We start from the raw sequence: 13,388 nt of genomic DNA, 5'->3' as shown, positions 1-13,388 counted from the left end.
TATTTTTGAGTTTGAGTCTTGCTCTGTCTCCCAGGCTGGAGTGCAGTGGCGTAATCTTGGCTCACTGCAATCTCCGCCTCCCAGTTTCAAGTGATTCTCGTGCCTCAACCTCCTGAGTAGTTGGAATTACAGTTGTGTGCCACCATGCCCAGCTATTTTTTGTATTTTTAGTAAAGACACGGTTTCACCATGTTGGCCAGGCTGGTCTCTAACTCCTGACCTCAGGTGATCCACCCGCCTTGGACTCTCAAAGTGCTGGGATTACAGGTGTGAGCTACCACGCCCAGCCATGTATTTTTTTTTTTTTTTTGAAGAACTTTAATGATGAAATTTTCCCTAATGAAAGCAATAGTGTTTATCCAGGTTATGGATTCTATTGTCTTAATTCCAATCTTTCAATTCTATAAAAATAATAGCTCATATATGAAAAGATGCTCAATGTACATCCTTAGTCATTAGGAAAATAAAAATCAAAACTGTAACAAGATACCACTTCACACCCCCTAAGATAGCTAATTTTTTTTTAAAGATAGACAATAACAAGTGTTGGTAACAATGTGGAGAAATTACAACCTCACAAGTGGCCGGTGGGAATTTAAAATAGTGCAGCCACTTTGTAAAACAGTCTTGTATAGGGTTAAATATAGAGTTAAGATACCATATAACCCAGTGATTCTATTCCTAAATATTATATCCAATGTAACTGAAAACATATATCCACACAAAAATTTGTACATGAATGGTCACAGAAGCACTATATATAATAACCAAAAAGTAGAAAAGAACCCAAATGTCCACCAACTGATAAAGAATTTTTTAAAATGTGGCATATTCATATAATGAATGGAATATTATTCAGCCACAAAAGGCATGAAGTACATGAAACAAAAATAAGTATATGCTAAAATATGGATGAAGCTTGAAAGCATTACACTAAGTAAAAAAAGCCAGTGACAAATAGCCGCATATTATGATTCCATTCATATGTAATGTCCAGACAGTAAATTCAGAGACAGTAATTAGATTAACGGCTGCTTGGGGCTGAGGAAAGGGGGAAATGGGGAGTGACTGCAAATGGTACAGGGTTTCTTTTTGGGGTGATAAAAATATTTTGAAATTAGATAGTAGTAATGGTTGTACAAATGTGAGTACACTCAAAACCACTAAACTCTACACTTTAAAATGGTAAAGCTTATAATATGAAAATTGTATCTTTAAGCTGTTAATAGTTCATAACCACAAACATTAATCATATTTTAATTGCTTTCTTTTTAATCCAGTAAACCAACAAGTAGAGAGAATTAATCACATTTTAGATTTTAGTCTGATCACCTCTAAAGACTCACCTCATTCTTTCCATTTTTGTTATTGTTACCCTGTGAAATCATTTTTTCTAGGACAGCAAGAAGATGCAAAGCTTTCTCAGCTTGGTAGGTTAATATATACAGGTCTACAAGCAAAAAACACACTGCTTGGGCAAATTTTTCTTCTGGGAGAAAAAAAACACAGAAAAGAATAGTCACAACCTAAAGTAAAGCACACATTTCAGACCACCCTCCAAAAAAGTATACAAAGCTTTAAATAGCAAAGCATAAGTCTTTACTCAAATGAATGCCTATCACCTAGAGCCACGAATGAAAGCAACTTGCAATGCCAACAATGTCATTTTACTAGGCACTGCAAGGCCTCTCATTTCAGAAATTCCAGTGATTAAATCTTCCTTAGGAAAATATCTACTAAACACTAGCACATGTAATGAGGAATATTACTTTAGGCGGAAAGAAACCTGAATTCCAATAGAGGTTGTGCATTCCTAACCTGAAATGTTGAAATCTGAAATTTGTAATCCTCCAAAATCCAAAACTTTTTTTGTTTCTGAGATGGTATCTCACTGTGTTACCCAGGCTGGAGTGCAGTGTTGCAATCTTGGCTTACTGCAACCTCTGCCTACTAGGCTCAAGAGATCCTTTCACCTTAGCCTCCTGAGTAGCTGGGACCACAAACATGTGTCACCATGCCTGGCTAATTTTTTCATAGAAACAGGGTTTCACTATGTTGCCCAGGCTGGTCTCAAGCTCCTGAGCTCAAGTGATCCACCCACTTTGGCCTCACAAAGGATAGGATTACAGGTGTGAGCCACTGTGTCCAGCCTCAAAATCCAAAACTTGTTGAGCACCAATGATGCTCAAATAAAATGCTCATGGTAGCATTTTGGACCTCAGGGTAGGAATACTGAACCAGTAAGTATAATGCAAATATTCCAAAGTTAAAAAAAATCCCAAATCTGAAACACTTCTTGTCCCAAGCATTTTGGATAAGGGATACTCAATCTGCACCTATTCAGCCACTAACTAGGTATGTGTGGTCTCTGTACATCATTTAACTTTTCAGACCTCAGCTGGCTGACCTGTCAAATGAGGAGAATATTTTACCTGCCTGAAGGCAGAAGGGTGGACCAGGGGATCTTGTGAGGTTCCTTCTAACTAAAAAAGTCTATGACTCCATGAAATACATTGCTTTTCTAGGTCATGGAGATGGAAAAAAAAAAAAAACAAACAAACACCTGATTACAGAAGCAAAAGCAGCAAGGTATGGGCTGGAGTATATCAGAAAATTGAGACTGCCAAGAGACAAGACCTTCAAAAGAAAAAGAACCCAATGAAGAGAGGAAAGTTAACCTGGTGTGACATAAAACTATCTTTCCTTTCAAAAAAGAAGATAAAAGGAAAAATAAGGTCTAGAAGAGAAAATTTCAAAAGCCTTTAAAGAGTGGAATTCATTTAAAAAACTGAAATTAACACAGCTGGTGTGCAAAGGTCATATATCTCCAAGGGAATCTCACTGCACCTAAGACAGTAAGCCCTGCCCTAGGCTTTACCTCTTCTGCCCGTGGCTAATTCTGACTTTATTTCCTATTATCCTCCTTACCTAGCTCCAGTCACAATGATCTTGCTGCTATTGCTCTCACCAAACACAGCCTCTCACCTCAAGTCTTCTCCATATCCCATTACCTCCAGTGGGAATGCTTTCCCTCTAAACAGTAGCAAGGATAATGTCTTTTCTTTATTCAGGTCTCGTTTCAAATACCATCTCATCCCAGGCCTTGCTTGATTACCTTACTTAAAACATCCCCAGTCAATCTCTACATTCTCACTCAATTTTAGCTTTACTTCATAGCATTCAGTATACAGCCAGCCCCCTGTATCTGACCTGCACCCACAGATTCAACCAACCTCAGATTGAAAATGTTAGAAGAAAAAAAAAAGTTGTTGCATCTGCACTGAATATGTACAGACGTTTTCCCCATCATTGTTCCCTAAACAATATGGTATAAAAACATTTTCATAGCATTTACAGTGTATTAGGTATTATAAGTAATTTAGCGATTATTTAAAATGTACAGGAGGACATACACAGAGACTGTATGTAAATACTACACCATTTTATATAAGGGATTTAAGTATCAGCAGATTTTGGTATCTGAAGAGGGGTGTCCTAGAACCAATCTCCCTTGAATACCAAGGGATGGCTGTTTTTTTATTATGTTGCTTTCTCTCCTATTAGAATAGAAGCTTAACGGGGGTAAAGAGTTTCTGTATTTCATTCATTGCATTATCTCCAGACCCAGAACAGTGTCTGGCCCACAGTATTGGACCATGTGCTCAATTAGCATATGTTGTATGAAGAATCTGAGTACTGGCTAGGCATGGTGGTTCACACCTGTAATCCCAGCACATTGGGAAGCCAAGGTGCTGGGCTTGAGCCCAGGAGTTCAAGACCAGCCTAGGCAACATAGTGAAACCCAGTCTCTGCAAAACAATACAAAAATTAGCTGGGTGTGGTGGCGCGTGACTGTAATCCCAGCTATTGAAGAGGCTGGGGTGGGAGGATCGCTTGGGCCTGGCAGGTGGAGGTTGCAGTGAGTGGAGTTCACGCCACTGCACTCCAGCCTGGGCAACAGAAAGAGACCCCATCTCAAAAAGAAAAAAAGAAGAAAGAAGCTGAGTAGTTATGATTCCAAGTTTGACACTGTAGAAAAGGCAAAACTGTAGAGACAGTAAAAAGATCAGTGGTTATAGGTAGAAAGGGAATGAACAGGCACAACACAGAATTCTTAGGGCAGTGAAAAATACTCTGTATGATACTATAATGAATATATTTGTCCAAACACATAGAACATACAACACCAAGAGTGAACCCTAACGTAAACTATGAACTTTGGATGATTATGATGTATCAATGTAGGTTTATCAATTATAACAAATGCACCACACTGTTGAGGGATTGTGGTAATGAGGGAGGCTATGGATGTGTTGGGGCAGAGGACACACAGGAAATCTCTGTACAAGAGGAAACTTGGTTTTGCTGTAAATCTAAACCTTCTCTAAAAAAACAGTCTTTAAAAAAAATCCAAGCAGTAAAAGTTTAAAAAAAAAAAAGCCATAAAAGAAAAATGAATGTGAATACTGACTAGTTGATTACTATTAATATATTCTGTTCAGCCATAGTGCAGATTAACAGGATTTCATGAATTCAGGAAATTCTCTTTTTTTTTTTTTTTTTTTTTTGAGAGCAAGTTTTGCTCTTGTTGCTCAGGCTGGAATGCTGTGGTGCAATCTTGGCTCACTGCAACCTCGGCCTCTCGGGTTCAAGTGATCCTCCTGTCTCAGCCTTCCTGAGTAGCTGGGATTACAGGCATGTGCCACCACACCTGGCTAATTTTGTATTTTTAGTAGAGACGGGGTTTCCCCATGTTGATCAGGCTGGTCTCCAACTCCTGACCTCAGATGATCTGCTCACCTCAACCTCCCAAAGTGCTGGGATTACAGGCGTGAGCCACTGCGCTGGGCATATTTATATTTTAATAGCTGCCTTTAAAGGCAGTTTCTCCATATTGAAATTCTAAGAAGCATCAATAACAGTAACTTTACAGAAAAATGTGTACAGTCCTAAAAGTGTAACTCTGATTTCTAGCTATACAGAAGGACCTGGTCACTAATTACATAATCCCTTACCACTGGTGTCTCTCCCGCCCAGTCTGTCCAGCTACCAAGCTCTCAGGATTGAGGGAAAGAAGAGAAGCACCTCAGAATGGGTCTCTGGAGCCATAGTAATCAGCTGTTCAACCAGCTGTCAGCAAAAGGGGACTCTCTACCTCTTCCCAAAGAACCACAGAGCGCTATCATACCCCACCACTTGTCCTGTGGTAACCACATGAGCAATCAGGCGTTCCTGATAAATTAGGAATTCTCATTTGTGTTTTGAATGTAAAAGAAAGCAATTATGGAAAAAAAAGACAAAAATGTAACTCACAAATGGAATTTGACTGCTTGTGGGCTAGAAACCAACAGCCTTCTCTAACAACCATTTCCTGGGTCTAGCTTTCTCCTTTGCTCTTCTTTTTTCCTTTGCCCTTACTTTTCTTGCTACTCCTACTTGAGGTTAGTAAGCTAATTAAGATAGCAAAAAACTAACTCTGTTCTATACTTCCTACTCCATAATTACCACCAAAAATTTCAGTAAGGCAAAGGGCAAAAATGAAATACCTCACTGTCCCCTAACATTCCAAAATGCTACTTCCTTAATGTACTAAAGTAAGAAAGGATCAGGTACACTAAAATAGTGTTGAAACAGCAAAAACCCCACAAACATCACTAAGTGTTTTCAGCACTTTCCAACAGCATTTTTAACAGTTATCTTCAAAATTTGGGAAGGGACACTCAAAGAAAACCTGGATTACATTTTTATCTTTTCTAACCATTAAGCAAAGCTGATACGGCTTTTCTTTGAATACTGGCATGGACTTCTCGGATTTAGGTTATCTAGGTAAAAGTACCAGAGAATTCTGCAAGTATAGGGAAGATAGGGAAATTTTTGACTTGACAGATAACATACCAAAAGGCTCTATGAACTGATAAAGTTTTTCACCAACTGATATGGCTTCTGTATACTGCCGCAGATGATAAAGAATGACTGCTTGATTATAGTACAACATGCTGTTTTCAACATCATCTAATCCATCCATTTCTTCAACAGCTGAGTGGACCTATAAAGCAATCAACAGAGGTTATATTTTAACATTAAGGAAATAAAAAGCAAAAGTGAAAGAATTCATATGAATAAAAAGGAACATAGGCCAACATTCTTATTCTGAATTTTTCCATACTTTCAACAGTATCTTTAGATTTTAATTACTCTCACATACTAAAAATTATTTTCATTCTTCTGTGCCACACATAATAAAATTTTAGGTAAAATGTTTTCATGAGACTTTATTAAGTACCCAGCACATGGCTAGACAATTATCTTCCTTGTCACTGTGAAGCTATCTTCCCTGTTTCAATTGGTAACACCACTTCTGAGTAGGATTCCCATCTCCTAGTCTCACAACCTACAAGAGGCTACACCAGGCGTGCAACAAACTCAAAATGACCTTTCCCATAAAAATGTCACGTAGTATTCATAGTTTGATTTCATTTTGTAAAAACTAAGGTAAAATTTAAACATTAATAATAGCTGGCCGGGCGTGGCAGCTCATGCCTGTAATCCCAGCACTTTGGGAGGCCGAGACAGGCAGATCACTTGAGGTCAGGAGTTTGAGACCAGCTTAGCCAACATGGTGAACCCCGTCTCTACTAAAAATACAAAATACAAAAAAAAAATTTAGCTGGGTGTGGTCGCACGTGCCTGTAGTCCCAGCTACTCGGGAGGCTGAGGGAGGAAACTTGCTTAAATCCAAAAGGCAGAGGCTGCAGTGAGCCAAGATCACATCACTGCACTCTAGCCTGAACAACACAGCGAGACTCTGTATCAAACAAAACAAAAATAGTTAACTATTTACCATGTGCCAGACTTGCTATGTTAAAACTTTTACAGGTTAATCCTCACCATACCTCAAGGTCATAGATAATTTTTTTTTTTTTGAGATGGAGTCACCCAGGCTGGAGTGCAGTGGCACGAACTCAGCTCAGTGTAACCTCCACCTCCAGGGTTCAAGTGATTCTCCTGCCTTAGCCTCCTGAGTAGCTCGGACTACAGGCATGCACCACAACACCTGGCTAATTTTGTATTTTTAGTAGAGATGGGGTTTCACCATGTTGGCCAGGCTGGTCTTGAACTCCTGACCTCAGGCGATCTGCCCACCTCGGCCTCCCAAAGTGCTTGGATTACAGGCATGAGCCACCGCACCTGGCCGAGGACATAGATAATTTCATTTCCACTTTATACATAAGGAAACCAGCACAGAAAACTTAATTATCTTGCCCAAGGCCATAGGGCTAGAAAGTATATTTTCAGGTTTCGTTCCCGTAAAAAAGAATAGATTTTTTTAAAGTACTCAATAATAAAAATATATTATTGCACACATGATGGTTAGAAAAGGCTTTTATGGGCTTCACTAAAGGCTAACATCTGTAACTGACACAAAAGAAAAAAAAAAAAGCATGACACTTTGCATTCTCAAACTGTATACCCCCTTATGTAAGCTGTAGCAATGGGCTTTTAAATTTTAATCAAGCTTTACAACCATTGCACAATTCCATGTAACACATGAAACTGGAAGTCTACTTGTATTAAAACTAACCTTTGCCATTATGAAGATTGCAATAAATTATTGTTCAATATTAAGTAATTAACTCTAAGACCAACACTTCCATAGAACTCTGATATACAGTACATGGATTTAACAGCCTTGGTTTGACTAATGGCAAGGAACCTGAAGGTTCACTACACACAATGAATTGTAAATTTTGTAACTGGACTTCAGCAGACGTCAACCACCCACGTGGTTAAGCTTGACATGGTTCAAATGTTAGCAAGTGGTCCTAGCTGACCAACATGTGCATCTCAATGAGTTTGGGAACTTTTTATAATCTTCACTTATCAAGTCACTATCTTAAAGAGATTAAAAACAGTATCTTCAAACAGTGAAAACTCAATTTCCAAAGGCAACTCTTTCTGTAGTTATGTAATGGAGAGAGACTGAGTTAAGAAGAGTTTAGCCAGAAAAGCTTTTAGATAAACTATGGCGTTTTGGATTCAGCAATGGTTGAATAATTATCACACAAATAACTTTGCCACATATTCTATGACTCACCAAAATAGTCTAGTAACTGCTCCAGCCAAAAGAAAAACTACTCATTAAGTGAAATTAGACGTTTGCTAATTAAAATGGAATAGGTTGAAAAGGTGTGTCACTGTGCCCGATGTGACTGCGAACAGAAGTATGATTTAAAGAAGTCAGTAACCACAAGTACAAACACTTCTAGGAAACTCAAGAGTTGGAAGGCCCTAACAAACCTTATAAACAATAAAAGCTAGTGAAAGAACTTCACAAAGTTTTTTTGGCCTAACTGGAAGTTTGCAGGAATTGCTTATTCAAAAAAAGTTTAAAGGCTGAACTTATTCTCAAAAACCAAACAAATTTGTCTTGGAAGAAACTGTCTATGGGGTCATAGGGTGCATGTACTAGATTATCAGTAAGCATCATCTTTCTTTTGATTCTGGAACACTAGATAAAATCATCAGTAATAATACTGGAGTAATGAGGAAACGTGAGGACATACAAATTTATGAAGACTGAGACAGGTAGGAGAACAGGCTCAAGAGTCAGAAGGCCTGGTTTAAATCTGTTCTTCCCCTTCCTAGTTGTGTAAATTTAAATTAGACTTCCTAAATTCTGGTTTTAAAACTGAGATAATAAGCACCTACTGCCTCAAGAGTTGAATGTGAGGATTATATGAGATAAGGCATAAAAGGCACTTAATACAGAATTTGGCACCCAGTATGCATTCAATAAATGGTAGCTATTATTCTCATTTTTGAATTTTAATGGGGTTTAAAAATTACTTTATGCCTATAAAGGATTACAGAGAGCCTGAAGGGACAACTTGCTTCTCTACCTGTGTCACACTTTAGGGTGATACTATAGAGTATCATGGTACTCATGATTACAGGAAAGGTCTCATGACTCCCTAACAGCATGAAGCAGTAACTAAAATTACAGGCTATAGAGTTAAATACAACTGAGTTCATGTAGCTCTTACTACTCAAAAACTTTGTGTTTTTGGACAATTTACACAGCTATCTGTGCCTTGGCTTTTCCACTTTTAAAATAAGAAAAATTATATAGCTATTTCATAGGGCTACTGAGAAGAACAAGCTGAGAAGTTGCATACAAGCGCTTGGCAGAGCCCTGTCACACAGTGAACACTTAACATATGCTAGCTGATCCTATCAGCACCATCACTGTTATCAGCCCTCTTGAACACCAAAAGTCTAGCCCCAGGATTCAAGAAACATTGCCATTATCACCAGACCAATCCCCAATTCAAGCCCCAAGCCAGATACAAAGCAGAATATCTTCTATTTAATCAATCATCTCCTGATCCAAATGCTAAAACGACTTGACATTAGGATTAATCATATTTTTTTCATTATAAACAAGATATATCTCCACAGCTAAGCTTCTTCATATAGTTCTTTCTCAAAACTCCAAAGCTCATTCAAATTTGGTATATTAGTCTATTCTGTTCAAGTTCATTAAAACCCCAATTAAAAAAAATGATCCCACAACATACCTTTTATCTCCTGGAATAATAATTTTACGGAAATAAAATTAATGCTAACAAATGTTTCTGACAAGAAATACCAGACAAATCACATTTATTTTCCTTAACTATTTGTGTTTCATAAATTAAAGAACAGAACAATATTTTTTATAGTTAAATTCATTTATGTATCACCTGATTCTTCAGCTGGTTAAGTGTTTGTCTCAAATTATCTGTTGTTGTTTGGTTACTTTTAAAAAACTCAGCTACTGCTGTATTCAAAATTATTTTATAATCATCTTTGTTTATATCTTGTAGACAGGCAAGGTGTTGTAGACAGGCATCATAATTTCCAGACTAAAAAAAAAAAACCACACACACACACACAAAATTACATACCAGCTTTAAATACAGTATATCATTCCAAATATATTTCATTCATCTTTATCTTAAAAGTTCTTAAAAAGAAAGATGTAGTTTCCCTACATATACTAATCAAAGTCACTAAAGCAACATTCATGTCAGTTAAACTGTGGATATTTACTTCCTAAGACTCAAAACCCTGACATTGACACATATAAGACACATATATTGATATGATAAATATACTGGCATATACATATAGTGCTAGCAGGGTATTAATGGCTGAGGCTAGTCAAGAAAGGTAATATAATCACTCCAAATTTTATTTTCTAGTAAATATATTTTAAATACCCAAGCATCAAGTTCTTCTGCTTACATGCACGTAACCTGATAACCAAATAAGGTTTTCTTTCATATTGTTTAATGCCAGAAAAAGTTAAAATTCTGCCAATAAAGTTTTGGGGTTCCATTTTAAAGTACCTTCAAGAAAATAATTTTTGAATCTGATATTTTCAGAAATAAATAAATAAAAGAATTGAACAGCTTAGTGAAATGAAAAGACTGACCCACATACTTACAAATCTAAATTTAAAAGACTTAAAAACAACAGTATATGAGTTAAAACATGTTTACAAAAACTTGGGAATGGCTCCAATTATTCCCATTCCTTTCACCATATTTAAACTCTAAAACATTTATTTTAAAAATTAAACCTACTTATCTCTAAATTAACTTTTGAATTATTACAGAGTAAAAATTGTAAATTTAAAAATTCACTATGAAAAGATTCATACTTGACAGAACCCTACAACTTGAGCAGACTAAGAGAAGCCATTTCTTACTGTGAAAGCTTGGAAAGCATTGGTGGATAACTCCTTCTCTTGATCAGTGATCCCAGAGGACTGACCTGTGCCTTCATGTTTCTCTGCTCCCTGATCTGCAAACACACAAATTTTACAGTTCTTTAGAAATAAAAGTTGTACAGTGGTCCCTCCTTATCCAGTTTCACTTTCTGCAGTTTCAGTTACCCAAGGTCAAGTATGAAAATATCAGATGGAAAATTCCAGAAATAAGCAGTTCTTAAGTTTTAAACAGCAATGTTCTGAGTAACATGATGAAATCTCTTGCCATCCTGCAGTGTCCCGCTCTGTCCCATCCAGGAAGTCAATCATTCCTTTGTCTAGCATTCCATGTTGTATAAGATACCTCCCCCTTGGACACACAGTAGCCATCTTGGTTATCAGATCAATAGGTCACAGGAAGAAAGGTGAGTAGGGTACAGTAAGATATTTTGAGAAAGAGAAACCACATTCAGATAACTGTTATTTTATTACTGTTGTTGTTAATCTCTTACTGTGCCTCATTTATAAACTTTATCATAGTTATGTACGTATTAAAAAAAGCAGTACATAGGTTCAGTACTATCTGTGGTTTCAAGTATCCACCGGAGGACCCTGAATGTATCTTCTGAGGAAAAGGTGGGGGACTACTGTATAGTGAATTTGTCCCTAGTTTTCATCTTGTGTTCTTCCTAATAAAGTGGCCAAAGTTAGGGCTCTCTCAACAATAACTGATTAATGTTGCCAGGCACGGTGGCTCACGCCTGTAATCCCAGCACTTTGGGAGGCCAAGGCGGGCACATCACAAGGTCAGGAGATCGAGACCATCCTGGCTAACACGGTGAAACCCCGTCACTACTAAAAATACAAAAAAAAAAAAAAAAAAATTAGCTTGGCGTGGTGGCGGGCGCCTGTAGTCCCAGCTACTTGGGAGACTGAGGCGGGAGAATGGCGTGAACCTGGGAGGTGGAGCTTGCAGTGAGCCAAGATAATGCCACTGCACTCCAGCCGGGGCGACAGAGTAGGACTCCGTCTCAAAAAAAAAAAAACAACAAAAAACAATGACTGATTAATGTTATAAGCTAATAAGAAGCTACTCCTCTGAAAGCTTGAAAAGGTTCCTATGGCCAAGTTGAAACACAATGAAAACCTGCCCACTTAAATAAAGACCACAAGCCCTGTAGATGAGGACATTCAAGCTGAGAATATTGTGCTCTTTAAAAAATATTAGATCTGCCACCCAGCAATATACAGTCCCACATATTCAAGCAACTATGGCAGGTGCTGGAGATATAAACACACCTACGATGGCTTTAAGAGATTTATAATTTAGTTGGAAAGTAGTAACAATCAGAAAACTACACTGATAAGGGCTTACAGCTAATTTCCAGGCAAGGAATATTTTCATAGGCTCAGAAATCCAAAATATTAACACATTTAAAAAGTTTCTTTAATATGTTAAGTGTCCATATAAATTCACAGTAAAGGTTAATAATCTGTTTAGCTGGGAAAACTACCTCCTACCTCTATAATTTGCTATTTTAAATATTAGATGTTTTGCTTTTTGTTTTAATTTGAAAATAGAATTCCAAAATAAAGGTAAAAATCTCAGCTGAACCAAACCTAAACTACTCAGAGCAAAAGTGTGTTAAGTACTCTAACAAATGCTTCAATACTTTTTATAGTTCTCTCAAGAGTCACTGTTGGCTGGGCGTGATGGCTCATGCCTATAATCCCAGCTACTTGGGAGGCTGAGGCACGAGAATTGCTTGAACCTGGGAGGCAGAGGTTGCAGTGAGCTGAGATCACGCCACTTCACTCCAGCCTGGGCGACAGAGTGAGACTGTCTTGAGAAAAAAAAAAAAAAAGGCCAGGTGTGGTGGCTCACGCCCGTAATCCCAGCATTTTGGGAGGCCAAGGCGGGTGGATCACGAGGTCAGGAGATCGAGGCCATACTGGCTAACATGGAGAAACCCCATCTCTACTAAAAATAAAAAATAAAAAAATTAGCTGGGCGTGGTGGCGGGCACCTGTAGTCCCAGCTACTCAGGAGGCTGAGGCAGGAGAATGGCGTGAACCCGGGAGGCAGAACTTGCAGTGAGCCGAGATTGCACCACTGCACTCTAGCCTGAGCAACAGAGTGAGACTCTGTCAAAAAACAAACAAACAAAAACAACTATCAGAGACTGGGCAATTTATAAAGAAATGAGGTTTAATTGGCTTATGGTTCCACAGGCTGTACAGAAAGCACATATAGGGAGTTCTCAGGAAACTTACAATCATGGCAGAAGGCAAAGAGGAAGCAAGCAGATCTTCACATGGTCAGCAGAAGAGAGAGCAAAGGGGGAGGTGCTACACACTTTTAAATAACGACATCTAGTGAGAACTCACTCACTATCACCAGTACAGCAAGGGGGAAATCCACCCCCATGATCCAGTCACCTCCCACCAGGTCCCTCCCCTAACATTGGGGATTTACAATTCAACATGAGATTTGGTTGGGGACACAGAGCTACACGATATCATTAGGTCATTGTTTTTTGGTTTTTTATTTTTTCAAAAGAGTCTAAGCCAATTAGAATTAATTAAATAGAATTAGAATGTCCTACATTCTGAATTTTTCTGGTTATTTCCTCAA

General features: G+C 38.0%; 1 protein-coding gene across 14 annotated transcripts in view; it reads right to left on the bottom strand.

Moving 5' to 3' along the window:
* CNOT10 (CCR4-NOT transcription complex subunit 10) overlaps positions 1-13,388 on the bottom strand; it is an 88,688-nt gene that overhangs the window by 59,160 nt on the left and 16,140 nt on the right. For 13 of the 14 annotated variants that reach the window (XR_007095661.1, NM_015442.3, NM_001393367.1 and 10 more), the window contains exons 2-5: positions 10,754-10,848; positions 9,744-9,905; positions 5,896-6,046; positions 1,347-1,489 (exon numbers count right to left, since the gene is read on the bottom strand). Coding sequence is in view for 12 of the 14 variants with exons in the window: in NM_015442.3 (NP_056257.1) it covers positions 1,347-1,489; positions 5,896-6,046; positions 9,744-9,905; positions 10,754-10,848 (551 nt within the window). In the remaining 2 variants the exon portion in view is untranslated. The remainder of the gene's footprint in view (positions 1-1,346; positions 1,490-5,895; positions 6,047-9,743; positions 9,906-10,753; positions 10,849-13,388) is intronic. The other variant, NR_046352.2, reaches the window with a different exon arrangement.

Source organism: Homo sapiens, chromosome 3 (genome assembly GCF_000001405.40).
Source record: "Homo sapiens chromosome 3, GRCh38.p14 Primary Assembly".
In the NCBI taxonomy this organism is placed as follows: Eukaryota; Metazoa; Chordata; class Mammalia; order Primates; family Hominidae; genus Homo; species Homo sapiens.
The sequence above is the reverse complement of the archived record's forward strand: the minus strand, read 5'-3'. Positions and strand labels throughout refer to the sequence as shown.